Raw genomic sequence first — 22747 nt, forward strand, 5'->3', positions numbered from 1 at the left:
GAGAATGGCGTGAACCTGGGAGGCGGAGCTTGCAGTGAGCCGAGATCGCGCCACTGCACTCCAGCCTGGGCAACAGAGCGAGACTCCATCTAAAAAAAAAAAAAAAAAAAAAAGACAAAATCCATCCTGTGGGAAAATCACCTAACACCTTCAACCAAAACATTTCAAAGAAAAAAGAGCACATCATAGGCACCTTTTTTGGATCCGGATTCAAGCAAACTACTAAAAAAACAGTTACAGGGCAATTAAAACTATGCAAATACTGACTGGATATCTGATGGTATTATGAAGTTATTGCTGATCTTTTAGGGAGGTGGGGATGATGATAGTACCATAGTTATGTTTTAAAAGGGAAGTCCGTGACTTCTAGAGATACACACTAAAATATTTAAAGATAACATGTCTAGAATTTTCTTCAAAATGTCTCTGGAAGGGAGAGAATTGGTGGGAAAAAGGAAATAAGATTAACCATGAGTTGATCACTATTGAAGCTGAGTGATGAGAACATAGTTCATTTCATAATTCTCCACAGTAAATATTTTTTAAAAAGGAAACTATAATGAATTAATAGATTTAGCTAGTTATCACCAACTGCTGCTAACATCACTAGGAGGGATGAAGTACCCAACATCTATAAAGCACTACTTCAAGAAAAAAAGTGTATGAGTATCAAATATGAACCTGATCAAGCGTCTACATCCAGGGCTGGTTACATCAACATACATAAACAAATACCACACAACATTTAAGAGTGGGCTTAACAAAACTAATTACAAACAAGATGAAGACTATAAGGGTTTGAATGTTTTATTATCTAATATAATTAAAAGTAAATAATGATTTTTAAGTGTCAAAACCAAACTCCAGACTCCACATTACTAATTACTCCATCTACTCAAGGAAATACTCTGAATTGGAATTGGTATTTTTGGCACATATTATTTGACCCGGTAATCCATAATAACCTCAGAAGTATTATGCCTTCTTTTTAATTGTTCAATTCAAATCATAATCATATTTAGTCACCAGATGGACTTTCTTCTTCACCTATTCCATCATGTTAGAAAAACAGTGTAAATTAGCACCTTATAATGACTCATGATAGACTTTTACCATCCACATAGGAAAGCAGTGAGGAGAAGGTTACCCTAACCATTCAATGGTAAAAGAGACATAAACAGATGCTATTCACAAGTCTCAGTGTGCCAGTGGCAATTACCACCTGTTCTACTCCATCGATTAAGAGCTACGCATGAACAAGAAGCCAAGAGACAGAAAAATCATGCAGACACAAATCTTTACTGCAACAATTGCATTTTAAATTCCTTCATTAAAAATACACACCACACATAGTTATAATAGAGTAATACAAAGGACAGGCAATTACATGACTACCCTGAGCTGAGATCAGATTGGGGCAAGTTCACAAAGGTCTCACCTCCGTTCTCTTCTTTCCTTTACCAATAGGAGGGAGAGACTGCTCTATGCAGATGTCTTAGGAAAATAATCAACTGGAGATGCCTCATTATTTCTCATTCTTTCCAATTCAGAATTTGTCATAACTCTTGGCTTGAGCTTGGCTGCAGGTATCACTAACATGATAAAAAGGTGGATTGATCAGCAATACAAAATTGTAAACGTGGTTTAACTATGAAAAAAAAAATTCTCCGTCAAACTTGCGTACAGATTTTTTTTAAATGAGAAAAAAATATTCTAACACATAAGTTAACATTAATAATGGGTCTGGATAAGACTGTAGTTCCATCTCTCTTCCTCCCTTATTTTTTTCTGAATTTTAAAATATATATATCTTCTTTGTTTTTTCTTTTTTAATCTTAGCTTACTGCAGCCTCAAACTCCTGGGCTCAAGGGATCCTCCTGCCCCAGCCTCCCAAGCAGCTAGGACTCCAGATGTGTGCCACCATGCCTAATTTTTTTTCATTTTTTTGTAGAGTCAGTGTATTAGGCCACTTTTGTGCTGCTATAAAGAAATACCTGAGGCTGGGTAATTTATAAAGAAATGAGGTTTAATCGTCTTAAGGTTCTGCAGGCCTTAAGAAAGCATAGTTCTGGCATCTGCCTCTGATGAGGCCTCAAGAAGTTGACAACATGGCAGAAAGTAACAAAGAGCCAGTCTGTCACATGACAAAAGTGAGAGCAAGACAGAGGTTGGGAGTGCCACACACTCTTAAAGAACCAGATCTCCAGTGAACTAACTAAGCGAGAACTCACTTAACACTGAGGGAATGGTACTGAACCATTCATGAGGGATCTGCCCCCATGATCCAATCACCTCCCACCAGGCCCTACCTCCAACACTGAGAATCACATTTCGACCTGAGATTTGGAGGGGACAAACATCCAAACCGTATCAGACTGGGTTTCACTATGTTGCCCAGGGTGGTCTTGAACTCCTGACCTCAAGTAATTCTCCTACCTCCGCCTCCCAAAGTGCTGGGATTACAGGCGTGAGCCACTGTACCTGGCTTATTGTTTCTTGAATATCATATATTTCCTTTTAAATGAAACACTTAAAATGAGCTATTATTGTTATCCCTATATGAGAATTTAAAAAAAAAATTTATCAGCACAGTGGCAGGTTAATAAATGTCCTTTATTTAAAATTTAAATACATTACATTCACTAAAACAACTGCAGAAGAAATGTACTTAAAATTCGTGCCTAAGTTATTTCAAAGTATTTTTCCATAAAAAATATAATTCAGACTGGCCTCCTCTCAATATGATTCACGTGTTGTTGCAAATAGGGGCTATACATTTTCTACCAATGTGACAGAAATAGTAAGCAGAATCAGTTCCTTATCTCACAAAAACTATAGAATTGTACTGAACAAAAAAGAGGTTACTTACTGTAAGGTATTATGTTTCAATGACCATTTGTCACTTAACAACAATAATAAATACAAATGAAAATAAACAGACAATTGAGCCTTAAAGAGAAAAATGAGAGAAAGCAAAACAAGAAAACTGAACTGCTGCACACAGGAATATTAAATTGTTCTTAAACGGCTTGTAAAGCAATTCAGGAAGGATAAAGGTGGGGAGGGGGGAATGTGTGTTTATAACACTCTCATGTTATTCTGTAAGCTGTCAAATATGAGCCATCTTTACCTGAAGTCATGAACAGTGCCAAATCTACATTTAATTGGTGTACCTGAAAGTGACAGGGAGAATGGAACCAAGTTGGAAAACACTCTTCAGGATATTATCCAGAAGAACTTCCCCAATCTAGCAAGTCAGGCCAACATTCAAATTCAGGAAATACAGAGAATGCCACAAACATATTCCTTGAGAAGAGCAACCCCAAGACACATAATCATCAGACTCACCAAGGTTGAAATGAAGGAAAAAATGTTAAGGGCAGCCAGAGAGAAAGGTCACTTTACCCACAAAGGGAAGCCCATCAGATTAACAAGGAATCTCTTGGCAGAAACCCTACAAGCCAGAAGAGAGTGGGGGCCAATATTCAACATTCTTAAAGAAAAGAATTTTCAACCCAGAATTTCATATCCAGCCAAACTGAGCTTCATAAGCGAAGGAGAAATAAAATCCTTTACATACAAGCAAATGCTGAGATATTTTGCCACAACCACACCTGCCTTTCAAGAGCTCCTGAAGGAAGCACTTCACATGGAAAGGAACAACCAGTACCAGCCACTGCAAAAACATACCAAATTGTAAAGATCATCAATGCTATGAAGAAACTGCATCAACTAATGGGCAAAATAACCAGCTAGCATCATAATGACAGGATCAAATTCAAACTTAACAATATTAACCTTAAATGTAAATGGGCTAAATGCACCAATTAAAAGACAAACACTGGCAAACTGGATAAAGAGTCAAGACCCATTGGTGTGCTGTATTCAGGAGACCCATCTCACGTGTAAAGACACTCACAGGCTCAAAATAAAGGGATGGAGGAATATTCAAAAGCAAATTCAGAAAGCAAAAAAAAGCAGGGGTTGCGATCCTAGCCTCTGATAAAATAGACTTTAAACCAACAAAGATCAAAAGAGACAAAGAAGGCCATTACATAATGGTAAAGGGATCAATGCAACAAGAAGAGCTAACTATCCTAAATATATATGCACCCAATAAAGGAGCACCCAGATTGTAAAGCAAGTTCTTAGAGACCTATAAAGAGACTTAGACTCCCACACAATAATAACGGGAGACTTTAACACTTCACTGTCAACACTAGACAGATCAACAAGACAGAAAATTAACAAGGATATCCAGGACTTGAACTCAACTCTGGACCAAGTGGACCTAATAGACATCTATAGAACTCTCCACCCCAAATCAACAGGATATACATTCTTCTCAGCACCACATTGCCCTTATTCTAAAATTGACCACATCATTGGAAGTAAAACACTCCTCAGCAAATGCAAAAGAACAGAAATCATAACAGACAGTCTGTCTGATCACAGTGCAATCAAATTAGAACTCAGGACTAAGAAACTCACTCAAAACCACACAACTACATGGAAACTGAACAACCTGCTCCTGAATGACTAGTGGGTAAATAATGAAATGAACGCAGAAATAAAGATGTTCTTTGAAACCAATGAGAACAAAGACACAATGTACCAGAATCTCTGGGACACATTTAAAGCAGGGTGTAGAGGGAAATGTATAGCACTAAATGCCCACAAGAGAAAGCAGGAGAGATCTAAAATTGACACCCTACCACCACAATTAGAAGAACTAGAGAAGCAAGAGCAAACAAATTCAAAAACTAGCAGAAGACAAATAATAACCAAGATCAGAGCAAAAATGAAGGAGCTAGAGACCGAAAAGCCTTCAAAAAAAATCAGTGAATCCAGGAGATGGTTTTCTGAAAAGATCAACAAAATAGACAGACTGCTAGCCAGACCAATAAAGAAGAAAAGACAGACGAATCAAATAGACACAATAAAAAATGATAAAGGGGATTTCACCTCCCATCCCAAAGAAATACAAACTACCATCAGAGAATACTATAAACACCTATATGCAAATAAACTAGAAAATCTAGAAGAAATAGATAAATTCCTGGACACATACACCCTCCTAAGGCTAAACCAGGAAGAAGTCAAATCCCTGAATAGATCAATCACAAGTTCTGAAATTGAGGCAGTATTTAATAGCTTACCAACCAAAAAAACTCCAGGACCAGACAGATTCACAGCCAATTCTACCAGAGGTACAAAGAGGAGCTGGTACCATTCCTTCTGAAACTATTCCAAACAATAGAAAGAGAGGGAATCCCCCCTAATTCATTTTATGAGGCCAGCATCCTGATACCAAAACCTGGCAGAGACACAACAAAAAAAGAAAATTTTAAGCCAATAACCCTGATGAACATCGATGCGAAAATCCTCAATAAAATACTAGCAAAATAAATCCAGCAGCACATCAAAAAGCTTATCCACCACGATCAAGTCGGCTTCATCCCTGGGATGCAAGGCTGATTCAACATATGCAAATCAATAAACATAATCCAAGACATAAACAAAACTAATGGCAAAAACCACGATTATCTCAATAGATGCAGAAAAGGCCTTTGACAAAATTCAACAGCACTTAATGCTAAAAACTCTCAATAAACTAGGTATTGATGGAATGTATTCTCAAAATAATAAGAGCTATTTATGACAAACCCACAGCCAATATCATACTGAATTGGCAAAAACTGGAAGCATTCCCTTTGAAAACCGGCACAAGACACGGATGCCCTCTCTCACCACTCCTATTCAACATAGTGTTGGAAGTTCTGGTCAGGGCAATCAGGCAAGAGAAAGAAATAAAGGGTATTCAATTAGGAAAAGAGGAAGTCAAATTGTCTCTGTTTGCAGATGGCATGCTTGTACATTTAGAAAACCCCATCGTCTCAGCCCTAAATCTCCTTAAGTTGATAAGCAACTTCAGCAAAGTCTCAGGATACAAAATCAATGTGCAAAAATCACAAGCATTCCTATATACCAATAACAGACAGACAGAGCCAAATCATGAGTGAACTCCCATTCACTATTGCTACAAAGAGAATAAAATACCTAGGAATACAACTTACAAGGGATGTGAAGGAACTCTTCAAAGAGAACTACAAACCACTGCTCAAGGAAATAAAAGAAGACACAAACAAATGGAAGAACATTCCATGCTTATGGATAGGGAGAATCAGTATCGTGAAAATGGCCATACTGCCCAAAGTAATTTATAGATTCAATGCTATCCCCATCAAGCTACTATTGACTTTCTTCACAGAATTGGAAAAAACTACTTTAAATTTCATATGGAACCAAAAAAGACTCGCATAGCCAAGACAACCCTAAGCAAAAAGAACAAAGTTGGAGGCTTCACTCTACTTGACTTCAAACTATACTACAAGCTACAGTAACCAAAACAGCATGGTACTGGTACCCAACAGAGATATATAGACCAATGGAACAGAACAGAGGCCTCAGATATAACACCACCACACATGTACAACCATCTGATCTCTGACAAACCTGACAAAAGCAAGAAATGGGGAAAGGATTCCTTATTTAATAAATGGTGTTGGGAAAACTGGCTAGCCATATGCAAAAAGCTGAAATTGGATCCTTCCTTACACCTTATACAAAAATTAACTCAAGATGGATTAACGACTTAAAAATAAGACCTAAAACCATAAAAACCCTAGAAGAAAACCTAGGCAATATTATTCAGGACGCAGGCATGGGCAAACACTTCATGACTAAAACACCAAAAGCAATGGCAACAAAAGCCAAAATTGACAAATGGCATCTAATGAAACTAAGAAGCTTCTGCACAGCAAAATAAACTATCGTCAGAGTGAATAGGCAACCTACAGAATGGGAGAAAATTTTTGCAATCTATCCATCTGACAAAGGGCTAATATCAAGAATCTACAAAGAATTTAAACAGATTTACAAGAAAAAAACCCCATCAAAAAGTGGGTGAAGGATATGAACAGACACTTTGAAAAAGAAGACATTTATACAGCCAAAAAACATATGAAAAAATGCTCATCATCACTGGTCATCAGAGAAATGCGAATCAAAACCACAATGAGATGCCATCTCATGCCAGTTAGAACAGCTATCATTAAAAAGTCAGGAAACAACAGATGCTGGAGAGGATGTGGAGAAATAGAAACACTTTTACACTGTTGGTGAGAGTGTAAATTAGCTTAACTACTGTGGAAGACAGCGTGGCGATTCCTCAAGGATCTAGAACTAGAAATACCGTTTGACCCAGCCATCCCATTACTGGGTATATACCCAAAGGATTATAAATCATGCTACCACATAGACACATGCACACGTATGTTTATTGCGGCACTGTTCATAATAGCAAAGACTTGGAACCAACCCAAATGCCCATCAATGATAGACTGGAAAAAGAAAGTGTGACACATATACACCATGGAATACTATGCAGCCATAAAAAAGGATGAGTTCATGTCCTTTGTAGGGACATGGATGAAGCTGGAAACTATCATTCTCGGCAAACTAACAAAAGAACAGAAAACCAAACACCACATGTCCTCACTCATAAGTGGGAGTTGAACAATGAGAACACATGGACACCAGGAGGGGAACATCACACACCGGGGCCTGTCAGGGGGTTGGGGGCTAGGGGAGGGATAGCATTAGGAGAAATACCTAATATAGATGATGGGTTGATGGGCACAGCAAAACACCATGGCACATGTATACCTACATAACAAACCGGCATGTTCTGCACATGTACCCTGGAATTTAAAGTACTAAAAAAAAAAAAAAAGAATAGAAAGATCGTTTAAAAAAAAAAAAAAAAAAAAAAAAGAGCAGGCCGGGCGTGGTGGCTCACACCTGTAATCCCAGCACTTTGGGAGGCCGAGGCGGGCCGATCACCTGAGGTCAGGAGTTTGAGACCAGCCTGATCAACATGGAGAAACCTCTTCTCTACTAAAAATACAAAATTAGGCGGGCGTGGTGGCGCATGCCTGTAATCCTGGCTACTCAGGAAAATTGCTTTATAACACGGGAGGTGGAAGCTGCGGTGAGCCGAGAGCGCGCCATTGCACTCCAGCCTGGGCAATGACCGAAACGCCATCTCAAAAAAAAAAAAAAAAAAAAAAGTGAAATAATTACATCTGCGGCAACCTGGATGGAATTGGAGACCATTATTCTAAGTGAAGTAACTGAGAAATGGAAAATCAAACATCGTATGTTCTCGGTCATGAGTGGGAGCTAAGCCATGAGGATGCAAAGGCGTAAGAATAATACAGGGGATTTTGGGGACTCAGGGAAAGGGTGAGAGGAGGGTGAGGGATAAAAGACTACACATTGGCAACTGCTGCTAATCAAAGTGTAGATTCCAGGCAACTTGAGTCTTTGCTCCCAGGTTATAATCCTTAAACTTGACCCAAATAAACTGTCTACTTATTAAAAAAAAAAAAAAAAGACTACATATTGGGTACAGTGTACACTGCTTGGGTGATGGGTGCACCAAAATCTCACACATCACCACTAAAGAACTTACTCATGTAACCAAATGCTACCTGTTCCCCAGCAACCTATAGAAATAGATAAAAATTAAAAAAAAAAATTAAACATTCTACATACATTTTCCCCCAAGAAAAAGCTGGGTGCTATCTTACAAATCAGAGACTTAGGGTTTAGAAAATAAAGATTATGACATTTAAAAAATACTATACAATATACACAGTTTTGGAATTTCCATATGAAATTATCAGAATGTCCACCTGGTTTTCTATATGCAACCTTATTTCTGCCTGTACACCCACATTCAAACTCTTATCTCCAACCCACAGGCAGTTCTAGTCTGAGGTAACAGCTCAGTCATCCCTTTGGGTCTTAGTGATGTCATCCTTGTTTGGTCCACCTTCATCACTGCTTTTGCCAAACACCAAACGTCTATCAGAAACAGGCACAGCTGGCCCGCTCTCATCTATTTTAAGCCACAGGATCCCAACAGGACAGAAGACATTGCCTCCTGGTAGTCTACTGTGACAGTAATGCTCTCATAACCTTTTTCTCAAGGTCACTCTCTATAGCCTCTTATCATGGCTCACTTGATCCAGCGTTTAGTTCTTCCTGACTCTAGATTTAGATCAAGCAATTGTAAAAACCCATGAGGTGGCGCCTCATTAATCTAGGATTCTGAGGTCTTTATTTCATGGACTGTTTGACAGCTTATCTAGATAATAAGAAGGAAAAACACCATAATATTAGTAGAACTGGCTATTACTGCTTCATAGGAACAAAGCTGCTCAATGATTCTAGAGCTGAATGGAACCTGAATTTTATATATAATACTAAGTAACTCGGTAATACCTACCTTTCTTTCTTTCGAGACGGAGTCTCACTCTGTCTCCCAGGCTGGAGTGCAGTGGCGCCATCTCGGCTCACTGCAAGCTCCGTCTCCCAGGTTCACGCCATTCTACTGCCTCAGCCTCCAGGGTAGTTGGGACTACAGGCACCCATCACCATGCACAGATAATTTTTTTGTATTTTTAGTACAGATGGGGTTTCACCATGTTAGCCAGGATGGTCTCAATCTCCTGACCTCGTGATCCGCCTGCCTTGGCCTCCCAAAGTGCTGGGATTAAGGGCGTGAGTCACCACGCCCGGCCCCTTTCTTTCTTTAAAGATGGTGCCACAGACATGCCCCTCTCAGTCTCCTGATTAAAATCCTAATTGTGCTAACATGCCCATTTATCTCAAAACTGAAACCATTTTTTTTCCCAGCTGAGCACATCTTTGAGTTTAGGGCTGTTCTTGCCTTTGCAGATTAGAATTGGGTTGGTTGGTTTTGTTTGTTTGTTTGTTTTGCCAAAGAATGAAAAGAAACTGGAAGGGAAAACCCAGCAATATGATTGATTTTCTATGTTCTTTCAAAGTAATTTTTTCCTGTGAGTTTACATGTGAAACGGCAATGAGTATCAATTCTTCATAAAAGTGACTGAATTACCCTGGGGCAGAGGTTGCAGTGAGCCGAGATTGCACCACTGCACTCCAGCCTCGGTGACAATGCAAGATTCTGTCTCCAAAAAAAAAAAAAAAAAAAAAGCAACTGAATAGGAAAACATGTTCTTTAATAAACATAAGAGATAGTCAAGTCTAAATAAAATAATAATGATAATAATAACAGATTCTACACCACAGTTGTATACACTTCCAGTGAAGCTTTATGCATTCCATTCTGAGCTCCTAATACCAGGTAAACACGAATCATAGGTGGAAATATGCCATGTTTAGCACTAGAAGTAACATCACAGTTTATTAGCAAAATAAAGCAGAAAATGATCAAAATGATCAGGTAAATAAATATTACAACATATAATGTACTGGTGATGAAGCTGCAATAAAGTAATATAAGTGATGTTTACAATTTTTTTTTTTTTTTTTTTTTTTTTTACTGGGAAGGCTAGTTGTAAACATAAACATTCTCACTGAACTACTGGCCCCCCAAAACCTAACCTATCTCACAATCAATAATCATCTTTTGACTATAAAATCATAAAAACTTGTACTCTGTGGCTCTTTTGTCTCGATGATTTTTCAGAGAAAAAAATTAGCTGTGTTAAGTAGTTTCACTGATTTATCCATCTTGAATAGCTGCCAGTTCTGGAACTTCATACATCCTCAGAACGTCTTCATAGAGCAAATAATTATGTAGGCTTCTGGGAAGTGGCAGCTGACTAATATAACTGTCAGACCGTAGACGTTCTGATTTTAGACTGGACCGAATTTCCAAACGACAAAGATGGGTCAGGGATGGAACAGTGGCTGGAGAAACAAAAAAAGCAAGGTGAAACTTTTTTAAACAGAAAGATGTAATAGCACATAAAGGTAAATTTTTTTTTCCCCCAACTCTTAGTAATAAAAGTGATATATTGCTTGAAAGAAGACTACTTTGAGTCAGTATGACCACAATAAACCTTATTTATTCTTTTCTACAGCCTTCAACTGGCTCCTCTCCCTTCAGTTTGTTGGCCACACATTCAAAGTCAGTATCCAGGGCCGCAAACACTAAATGCTCAAATTCTAAAGATCTGTTAATACCTGCACTTAAGAAATGGATGAACCAACTTTAGAAATGGTGGAAGCTCACAATAGCAAATGCTACCTTCCTCTTAATCTATTTCATTACAAATGGTTTCCAGACCTATCACATCAAGTGAATAGATGTACAGCTTGCAAGTTTTCCTTTTTATCCATAACATAAAATGAAAATTTTTAATTGACTCTGAGAGAAAGGGAGTATTTACTGAGTGCCTTCTATGCCATAAGCCCATGTACTTCACTCAAATTCTCTTTTTATCTTCATTAACTTCATGAAGTATATATTATCAGGCTGTTGTAGAAATTTAAAAAAACAACTTTCCAAAGTCACAGAGCTAGTAAGCAGCAGAGCCAGGATTCAAACTCAGATCTATCTGAACCCAAAGCGTGTGTGTGTGTGTGTGTGTGTGTGTGTGTGTGTGTGTGTGTGTATCTGGCAAGGCAGTGCAGCCAAAAGCTAACTACCAATTAAAGGACAATTCAAATGCACATAATTAAGAACTGTATGATAGGCCAGGCGCGGTGGCTCATGCCTGTAATCCCAGTACTTTGGGAGGCTGAGGCGGGCAGATCACCTGACGTCAGGAGTTCAAAACCAGCCTGACCAACATGGTGAAACAACGTCTCTACTAAAAATACAAAATTAGCTTGGCGTGGTGGCACATGCCTGTAATCCCACCTACTAGGGAGGCTGAGGCAAAATAATTGCTTGAACCTGGGAGGCGGAGGTTGCAGTGAGCCGAGATCATGCCACTGCACTCCAGCCTGGGCAACAAGAGGGAAACTCCTTCTCAAAAAAAAAAAGAAAAGAATCATATGATAGCAGTTTCATTTTCCAAGATGAAAAGTGTTAAATAAAGAAGTTAATGTCTGCTTTTATGTGAATCGGACCAAAGCCTTTTGTTAATTCAAGAAATCTTTTATAAATCCCTGTGAAATTTAACAATGATGAACAGACCAGGATCAGAGCATCAAAGACAAGTACTATCAAGAGCACAGCTGATACCAGACCAGCTAGTCTGATTCCAGGTATAGGGTTCTTTAAACTCTAATACCCATAGGGCTTGAGACCAATTAATTCTCTAACATCTTCAATATCTTCCAAGCCATAGAAGTTAACTCATCATCGTTTTTAGTTTACTAGTTTAGGTTTAGTTTAGTTTATTCAGAATTAAAGAAATCACTCAAACTGGTGTTTCAAAATGCCAAATAAGAAAGCAAAAGTTATCGATTTTGTACATAAAACCTAAGTCTAAGCTGGGCATTTTCTTAAATCATGAGTCATAGATTCCCTATTATAAATAATAAGATTACAGTATCTATAGTATATAGCACGCACATTTATTTCTAACTTTTTTCATATCCATATCTTACTTAAATTTGACACTTTTCTGTAAACTTAAAGGAGAAATGATGGTTCTCACATGAAAGATGGGAAGACACAGGTAAAGGGGCCACTGGAGGAAGTTGCAGGAATACATATGGAAAGCAGGCCCAAGCTGCAAACACCACCGTTTTCCAAAGGTTTAAGTAGATTGACTATGTTCAACTATCAAGTATAAGGAAGCCCTCTTAGTAGGATCATGAACAATAATTGGTCAGTTAATAGAAACTCACCTTAAAGCAGGTGACCACAACAACCATACATACTTTAAACATTCTAATTTAAAATGGATACATGAACACATCTAGAATGCAACATCTATGGCTTGCAGTTTATTTATGTATTTTTTACTCACCACTATATAAATAAGGACACAGTTTCACTTTCTTTGAGTTACAGCATGGATTTAAAGGCATGTATGAAACAAGGTGAGTGCATAATCCTTCCATATTTTTACAGGTTTTTTTGCTTTCAGTTGTTGTAGCCACGTCTAATTCAATATCTATTTCTGTTCTGTGCTTATCTTTATCAAGTCTTTTGCATTCTACTTTGCCTTAACAGCAACAATGATTCTCTTTTCACACTCATAATTCATTAGCTTGTGCAATCTGGAATTATTTAACTCCAATAATATGCACAACGTAATAAAAAGTTTCAGAAATAAGCATAACTGCTGTTTGGTAAGCACACACCTCTGCTGGTAGGAACACTGGCATTCTAGAGTGTAGCTGGCCAGCTGCAAACACAGAGCATGCCAATGGACATAGTCAGATGGAAATGAAAGAGAAAATGACAAGACTGTTTAATCCAGTGTGTGTTTTTAAAGAGAATTTCTACTTATATTCAGTTAGAGTTTAACAGGCATCTGTTAAATTGAATCTCTTCATTCTGCACATTCTTAGGAACATGAATACTTACTACACAACCAGAAGGAAGATAAAGGATGGCTGTGCAACCCGGAGGAGAGCTGCTCACATGGAGATAAGGGATCCTTAATGATGCTCCAGCTTCTCAGAGTGGACAGACTACACTGGCTTAAAATTCTATGGGCTGACTGGGAAGATTCCTCCAGATACCCTAAAACTTAATGTAGTGCTGACCAGCTTTTCTAGATTATGTGACTACATCACTGGAGGTCTATCTTTAAAGCTTAATAAATCATTTGTTTATGCTAATTATGTGTAGAAGCTTAACCATTAGTGATCAAGCCACACTAGACCAGTTCGCATTTGTTAGGAGAAGCGTAACTGACTTGCCCACTGAGATGTGGCACATCAACAACATAGCTGTTGTTAACTAGATCTCAATGATTTGACTCCCAGTCCAGGGTTCTTTAAACTATGATAAGCTCAATATAATTCTCCAACATCTTCTAAACCACTGAAACTATCATAAATTTCAGAATATCTTTCCATTTAATAATAAAAAAGGAAAAGTATAGCTACTTCAGGTATTGGTTCAAATTTTAATTGCACCATTTTGGTTTTCCTTCTAAGAGCACAACAGATCACTGGCCTAATGAACAATTAGAGGTAAGAACTATGTTCAGCTGAACTGAGGGAGTGTTTCATGTGTAGATTATTAACACAGACAATAATATGCCTGTCAGTGCCATTTTTGTTTAATATGCCAGTAAATACTAAGGGAATTTTATAACCATATATGCAATATTTCAAAGCACACAAAATCCCTATGAAAGTTTTAGTGATGCATAGTTATTTCCAGACGTGTTGCCACTAGGCTAGAAGATCAAGCCATGCCTTGAATTTATAATACGAAAAAGGCCACAGAAGCTGTATGTAAAACATACTTTCATGAAAACCTATTAAAACTATATTTTAGTTTTGTTAAATACATCTCCATGTTCTTGGATTATGGCAGTGATTGTAACCTAGAAAATGACGTCTGAAACCATGCTACACTTCTAAGTCACTTTTCTGACCCAATCATTTTTATTCAATATGTTAAACTTAGTTTATCCATAGATCTATTAGCAGATGAGTAATATTTAACTTTTAATTCCTATACAGAATTCCTCTATTTTGTTCATTTTGTTATATGTACTGGCAGAACAATCAAAATAGAAGACTACATGTTGTTATACAAAGTTTTGTTAAAATCAAAAGCACACACAATGATCAAAATAAACGTCACAATTCTTAATTCATTATGCTTATAAATGCCAACTTTACTATAGCACAAAACTATATCTATATCATACACACCCACTATATTTTCTACATTCATCTTTAGCCTTCCCTCAGGCCAATGTTCAAACAACCTATCTGCCTGAACTACATTTCTCTGGTTCCTTTGAAATGTTTTGCACATCAAATGCATTTATCTGACTTCTGAGACACCTACTACCATTTTTATTTTCATCATTAATATATTGTCTTTCTCGTTGGTATCCATCCTTTTGTTCCCAGTTTTTCTTAATTTACTTGTGTTGTCTCTCTCATTGACTATAACTAAAACCGCTAGAAAAAACACAAAAAGCAAGTACCTGAGAACTCTGAAAAACAAGTAATAGATTAGGACATGAAGTCAAAACAATAGGAATGGCCAGTATAAAGGAATGACCAGTAGAGGCAATGAATGGATTAAATGGAAAAGCACCATCTAGTAGTAACACCTGTGCTGGCGCTGAGGTGCCACTATTAACTAGCTGTGTGACCCTGGGCAAGTCATCTAAATATTCTGACTTTCAGTTACCTTTCCATAAAATGAGAATAATGCCTCATCTACAAAATGGGCATAATGACACTTCCCTGCATCAAAAGGCTGTTGATGATGTTCAAGTTGGAACACATTTGCAAAAGCATTTCATAAAGTGAAACACCACACAAATCCCAGGCACCACAGAATCTAGTGATCTCCAAATGTTTTGATTACACACTAAATTAGTAAAGTCTCTGACCACAGAATCCAATATATATTTTACATATAAATTACATGTATACTATTAACCAAACATTATTTGTACTATAAAATAAAATAAGCCAATATAAAATAAGATATATACTTTAAATAATTTCATTTTTAAAGGTATAAGACTCCTTTAAATATTAATATTTTAACAAGAACAAGGTGATTGACTAGGCTTTATTAATGTAATTCTTAGTGATCTAGCAATTCAAAGAGTTGGTTCTAAGCCCAGTTTATTCTGATACATGGATGTAGCTGAAATAAGGTCTAAATGGGAGAAGTACACTGTGGCTTAGCTGAACTAAATCAGGATTCTATCTAGCCTATCTAGCAATTATGAAAAAGTTATTGTCAAAATTCATCTGGTAAATTTCTATTTTTTCCTGATATCAATCAGTTTATAAGCTAATCAGAAAGTTTTGCATTTTTACTAAATGGAGTTCAAAACAAAGGGGAACTATTTCCAAGTGTTTTAAGTATGTCAATGAAAGAGTTTTTCCAGGTGATATATACTACTTTTCACAAGAAAATAACGTAACAATAAAAATATTTCCTAGTACCTATTTTCAAAATCATCTCCACATAGCAAAAGTTTCTTTCATTGCTTGGCTTTAACCTGCATTGCAGGGCATGGAGGGGAGTTCCTTTCAGAAGGCAGTTACTTCTCACTCAGTTAAAATGTCATCTCTTCCCTAAATCAACAGAATTTTTACAAAATACATGGTAGGTTGCATAGCTATTTATCACCAAGAAAGAAAAAGCTCAAGAAAATTGGAAAAGCTGTATTTTTGTAAAAGAAAAGCACATAATTTACCTTTGAGCTTAAGGGTTCTTTTATATATTGTATCACAGACAATGAGCAAAACTATGGATGTATAAACAATAACTATGGTCACTCCCACCTCATTATAAAGTACTGCAAAGACTCTAATATATTTTAAAGGTCATGCTTTAGGAAAGTATCCACAGTGATACTACTTCGTGCAATTCTGGATTCAACTCTTCTCCTATACTAGCCTATGAATGATGTAGTAAACTCATTTCATGTTATCTCCATTACCTTACATTTGGAGAAAAGCAGCCACCACTCCTTCAATGGTCATTCTTACACACCTTTTCCAAAACACATCATTCTGTTAAATAAGCCATTACTGTTGCCAATACAGGCATACACTGCGTAAGGATATTTTAGTAAACGACGGACCACATATACGATGGTGGCCCCACAAGATTATAATGGAGCTGAAAAATTATTATTATCTAGTGATGTCACAGGTGTCATAACATCAACTAATTTTTTTATAAATTTAGTGTGGCCTAAGTATATGGCGTTAAAGTATACAGTAGCATACAGTAATGTCTGAGGCCTTCACATTCACTCTCCACTCACTCATTGATATCACCCAGAGCAATTTCCAGTCCTGCAAGTTCCATTCCTAGTAAGTGCCCTATACAGATCTACCATTTTTCATCTTTTGTGCTGTTTTGTTTGTTCGTTTTGTTTTGTTTTGAGACGGAGTCTCACTCTGTCACCAGGCTGGAGTGCAGTGGCACGATCTCAGCTCACTGCAACTTTGCCTCCCAGGTTCAAGCAATTCTCCTGCCTCAGCCTCCCGAGTTGCTGGGATTACAGGCGCCTGCCACCATGCCCGATTAATTTTTGTATTTTTGGTAGAGACAGGATTTCGCCATGTTGGCCAGGCTGGTCTCAAACTCCTGACCTCAGGTGATCCACCCGCCTCAGCCTCCCAAAGTGCTGGGATTACAGGTGTGAGCCACCGCGCCCGGCCTATACTGTATTTTTACTGTACTTTTCCTATGTTTAGAAACACAAATACTTACCAATGTGTTACAACTGCCTATAGTATTCAGCACAGTAACATGCTGTACAAGTTTGTGGCCTAGGAGCAATAGGCTATACTATGTAGCCTCAGGTGTGTAGTAGGCTCTACCATCTAGTTTATATAAGAATACTTTATAATATTTGCACAATGACAAAATCGCCTAACAAAGCACTTCTCAGACTGTATCCCCGTTGTTAATACACCTCACTGTATCTCTTTTCTGGTGCATTTTTCCTTTAGCAGCTCTTAAAAAATTGCCTATTCTCTCACTGAAAGAGAATCTTAACAAATACCCTAAGTTGTAACATGTTATAAATACCACAAATCTCCTTCCAACTTAGTACACCAAACTTTCTATCTGCAGGTTTTTTTTAAAAAAAAACTCTGCTTTAATGCTTTAGCAGTGTTTTCTATGCTCCTTTAACAACATTTGCTAATAAGGAATGCATTTTGTTTTGTCCTCATATTATTTCAGCCAGTTTTACTGTGGCAGGAGGAACATGAGTTTCCCCAATGGTCTGTGACTTTTTGTCTTTTGCTATTGAATAAGAAAACTCAAAAAGAGTTCTAAGCCTTTATCATTATGTTTAGTAAATTTTGTAAAAAATAATGCACTGGGCATCCTAGGACTTAAAACATTGAGAAAAAAAAATCACAGGGTTTGCCCTCATGTTCCGAATGTGTAGATTAGAGTGTCTTGCTGAGTATGGTTCTTCCATTAGCTAATTATCTCAAGGCACACTACATGTTAAGGACAAGGCTCACTGTTAAAGTAAAGGTGAGACTATATTTTAAATATTTTCTTGATAATTTTATATTTGTCAGTTGCAATTAGGTGGTAGTCATTTTTATTTTAGCTCTTTTTAGCTTTTTAAAATTTTTATTATTTTATTGTATATATTTAAAGTGTACAATGTGATGTTTTGTATGCTTATGTTGATATACCTACCATAATGAAGTGATTACTACAGTCAAACAAACATTAATATACCCATCATCTCATATAGTTACCTTGCTGGTGTGTGTGTGTGTGTGTGCATGTGTGTGCCTAAAATTTACTATCTTGGTAAATTACCAGTACACAACACAGTATTTTTAACTATAGTTCTCATGATCTCTAGAACTTCCTCATCCTACAAAACTGCAGCTTTATACCCTTTGACCTACATCTTTTCATTTCCCCACAACCATCCCGCCTTCAACCCGGTAACCCAGGTGGTCATCATTTTTATCACATAACATGCCTGGTAAATAACAAGAGAATGCAGCTCTACGATGATTATGTTGGTTCACTTGTGCTTGCACTTTTAATATTATCTACAGAAAATACTACTTCTTTACAGAAATCGTTTTAAGCCACTTGACCAATTTGTGAGAAGTGGTTAAATTAAAACTACAAAATATCATTATAGGTGCACTAAGCAATCACATATGAACAAAAATTCACTATAGCACACCACAAATGTGGTGGCACAGTCAACCCCATGCACCCGACTTTGGGAAATCCTGATGTAACCCCTACGGATATGTAGGTACAAGGCACTGGGCCATGTATGCTAAGTGGAGGATGGGAAGAGAGATAAGTCCTCGGGAATCCCCATTCTACCATGAACTCTGTATAGAACATTCTGCCTCCCCCTCTTCTCCTCACAAAAGCCTGATTCTTGCAAGGAAATTACTTCCTTGGCCAATTTTGAAAATACAATCTTCTCATTTTCCATGCCTTGCTACACCTGTTGCAAGGTCTGGGGGGCAATGTTAGCATTCTTATACTTCTTGTGCACCACTTCAGATCCACGCTTCTGTCTTTAAACTCCAACAGACACCAGTTTCTATTCTTCCAGAGTTTGCTCTCCCTTATTGCCACACCCAATCTTTAACATCATGGAGACCTCAGGTCCCAACTCCTCCCCTATCTCATCCTTCAGGTCCCATCCTTTCTCATTTCTTTTCCTATCTAGACTGGATTCCATGGGCCCATCACTTCAATTATTTTATCCTCAGTTCCTTTATCCCTGTTCTGACAATACCCAGGATCAATCTAACCATTTTGCTTCTGCACCCCAATACAAAGAAAACTAAGCAATGCTGGAAAATACAACTACATGAACTGGTTCCACTTCCAACCTCTACCAGACCTGCAGGGTTTTGCTCTGCAAATCTTTCAATGGTTCTCAATTGGTTTCCCACAGCAACCATTCCAAAACACCAAGTCCCCTACCCAATTCTCACTTCAATCTCCTCCTCAGCAAGACTTTACTCCCAACTTCACAGTAAAAACTGGTCTTATGGGCTTTTTTTTTCTGAGCTTCCAATCCCCAAGCTACAAATTTATCTCTGTCCAGCCCATCCTCATCTTTCTTCTCCATCTCAAAGAAATGGGTCTACCTGAGGCTAATCCCGTCTCCAACTGGCCTACACGAAATTTCATTACACAAATTATCCCTTTTATCTCTGAATCTTTGATGTCGTTTTATAAACTGAGACCCTCTTGATCTATAAAACATGATCAAGCTCCTCCCATCTCAAAAAGAAAACTCTGCCACAACCCTGAATCCTTCCCTTTTAGCCACTGTACTAATCAAAGAACTATGTTCACTTTATTTTTTCATTCACATAATTTTTTTAAATTTAATTTTTAAGTTCAGGGGTACATGTGTAAGTTCATTACGTAGATAAACTTGTTTCATGGGGGCTTGTTGTACAGATTATTTTGTCACCCAGGTATTAAGCCTAGTACTCATTCGTTATTTTTTCCTGGTCCTCTCCTTCCTTCCACCCACAACATAGGCCACAGTGTCTGTTGTTCCCTTCTACGTGTCCCTAGGTTCTCATCATTTTGCTCCCACTTATAAGTGGGAACATGTAGTACATGGTTTTCTGTTCCTGCATTAGTTTGCTAAGGATAATGGCCTCCAGCTCCACCTCTGTTCCTGCAAAGGACATGATTTCATTCTTTTTTTATGGCTGCATTCTAATCCATGGTGCGTATGTACCACATTTTCTTTATGCACTCTACCACTGATGGGCATTTAGGTTGATTCCATGTCTTTGTTACTGTGAATAGCACTGCAAGGAACATATGTGTACATGTGTCTTTATGACAGAAAGATTTCTATTCCTAAGGGTATATACCCAGTTATGGGATTGCTGGATCGAACAGTATGTCTGCTTTTAGGTCTTTGAGGAATTGCCACACTGTCTTCCCAACGGTTGAAGTAGTTTACACTTCCATCAACAGTGTATAAGTGTTTCTTTTTCTATGCAACCTCGCCAGCATCTATTATTTTCTACCTTTTAGTAATAACCATTCTGACTGCTATGAGATGGTATCTCATTGTGGTTTTGATTTGGATTTCTCTAATGATCAGTGATGTCGAACTTTTTTTCATATGATTGTTGGCTGGATGTGTGTCTTCTTTTTAAAACAGAATTTATTTTTATTTTTAAAACTTTTTTATTTTTAAATTGTGTGGGCACATAGTAGGTGTATATATTTATGGGGTACATGAGATACTTTGATACAGGCATGCAATGCATAATAATCATATCAGGGTAAATGGGGTATTCATTGCCTCAAGCATTTATCCTTTCTTTGTGTTACAAACTATCCAATTATACTCTTTCACTTGTTGAAAAATGTACAATAAATTGTTGACCTTAGACACTCTATTGTGATATCAAATAGATCTTATTCATTCTAACTATATTTTTGTATCCATTAACCATCCCCACCTCTCACCAACCATCCCCACCTCTCACCCCCCATCCCCACTACCTTTCCCAGACTTCTACTTTGTATCTCCATGAATTCAACCACTTTAATTTTTAGCTCCGTAAAAAAGTGAGAACATGCTAAGTTTGTCTTTCTGTGCCTAGCTTATTTTACTTACTATAATGACCTCCAGTTCTATCCATTTTGTTGCAAATGACAGGCTCTCATTCTTTTTTATGGTTGAATAGTACTCTGTTGTGTATATGTATCACAGTTTCTTTATCCATTGATCTTTTAATGGACACCAGTTGCTTCTAAATCTTAGCTACTGTGAATAGTGCTGCAATAAACATTTTCTCTTCAATATACTGATTTCCTCTCTTTTGGGTATATACCCAGCAGTGGGACTGCTGGATTATATGGTAGGTCTATTTTTAGTTTTTTGAGGAAACTCCAAATACTTTCTCCCCTTCTGTGGGCCGTCTCTTCTCTTTGTTGACCGTTTCCTTTGCTGTGCATCAGAAACTTTTAAACTTGATGTGATCCCCTATGTCCATTTTTGTTTTGGTTGCCTGTGCTTGTGGGGTATTTCTCAAGAAACCTTTGCCCAGTTCAATGTACTAGAGAGTTTCCCCAATGTTTTCTTTTAGTAGTTAGAGGTCTTAAACTCTTTAATGCATTTTTATTTGATTTTTGTATATGGCCAGAGATAGGGGTCTAGTTTTATTCTTCTGCATATGGATATCCAGTTTTCCCAGCACCATTTAATAAAGAGACTGTCCTTTCCCCAATGTATGTTCTTGGCACCTTTGTTGAAAATGAGTTCACTGTAGGTTTCTGTATTTGTTTCTGGGTTCTCTATTCTGTTTCATTGGTCTATGTGTCTGTGTTTATGCCAGTACCAGGCTGTTTTAGTTACTATGGCTTTGTAGTACAATTTGAAGTAAGGTAATCTGATTCCTCCAGTTTTGTTCTTTTTGCTCAGGATAGCTTTGGCTATTATGAGTCTTTTGTGGGTCCATATAAATTTTAGGATTGCTGGCTGGGCGCGGTGGCTCATGCCTGTAATCCCAGCACTTTGGGAGGGTGAGGTGGGTGGATCACAAAGTCAGGAGTTCGAGACCAGCCTGGCCAATATGGTGAAACCTCGTCTCTACTAAAAGTACAAAAAAATTAGCCAGGCATGGTGGCACATGCCTGTAACCCCAGCTACTTGGGAGGCTGAGGCAGGAGAATTGCTTGAATCCGGGAGGCAGAGGTTGCAGTGAGCCGAGATCATGCCACTGCACTTCAGCCTGGGTGACAAAACGAGACTCCGTCTCAAAAAAAAAAAAAAAAAAATTAGGATTGCTTTTTCTATTTCTGTGAAGAATGTCATTGGTATTTTGATAGGAATTGCATTGAATCTGTAGATTGCTTTAAGTAGTATGGCCATTTTAACAATATTGATTCTTTCAATCAATGAACACAGAATGTATTTCCTCTTTTGATGTATCCTCTTTAATTTCTTTCATCAGTGTTTTACAGCTTTCATTGTAGAGATCTCTCACTTCTTTGGTCACACTAATTCCTAGGTATTTTATTTTATTTGTTGCTATTGTAAATGAGATTAATTTTTTATTTCTTTTTCAGATTGTTCACTTTTTGCTTTTATTTTGAGATGGAGTCTTGCTCTGTCACCCAGGCTGGAGTGCAGTGGTGCGATCTCGGCTCACTGCAACCTCCACCTCTCGGGTTCAAGTGATTCTCCTGCCTCAACCTCTTGAGTAGCTGGGATTACAGGTGCCTACCAC

The 22747-nt window shown here is 37.7% G+C and overlaps 2 protein-coding genes across 4 annotated transcripts in view; both read right to left on the bottom strand.

Moving 5' to 3' along the window:
- Nucleotides 1-10096: 10096 nt before the first annotated feature.
- ASB3 (ankyrin repeat and SOCS box containing 3) overlaps nucleotides 10097-22747 on the bottom strand; it is a 116974-nt gene continuing 104323 nt past the window's right edge. For all 3 annotated transcript variants that reach the window (NM_145863.3, NM_016115.5, NM_001201965.2), the window contains one exon: nucleotides 10097-10807. In NM_145863.3, the coding sequence (NP_665862.1) occupies nucleotides 10620-10807 (188 nt within the window). In that variant the 3' untranslated portion in view covers nucleotides 10097-10619. The remainder of the gene's footprint in view (nucleotides 10808-22747) is intronic.
- Nucleotides 10410-22747, bottom strand: part of GPR75-ASB3 (GPR75-ASB3 readthrough) — a 189675-nt gene continuing 177337 nt past the window's right edge. The window contains exon 10 of the mRNA NM_001164165.2: nucleotides 10410-10807. Coding sequence (NP_001157637.1) covers nucleotides 10620-10807 — 188 coding nt within the window. The 3' untranslated portion in view covers nucleotides 10410-10619. The remainder of the gene's footprint in view (nucleotides 10808-22747) is intronic.

This window comes from Homo sapiens, chromosome 2 (genome assembly GCF_000001405.40).
Source record: "Homo sapiens chromosome 2, GRCh38.p14 Primary Assembly".
In the NCBI taxonomy this organism is placed as follows: domain Eukaryota; kingdom Metazoa; phylum Chordata; class Mammalia; order Primates; family Hominidae; genus Homo; species Homo sapiens.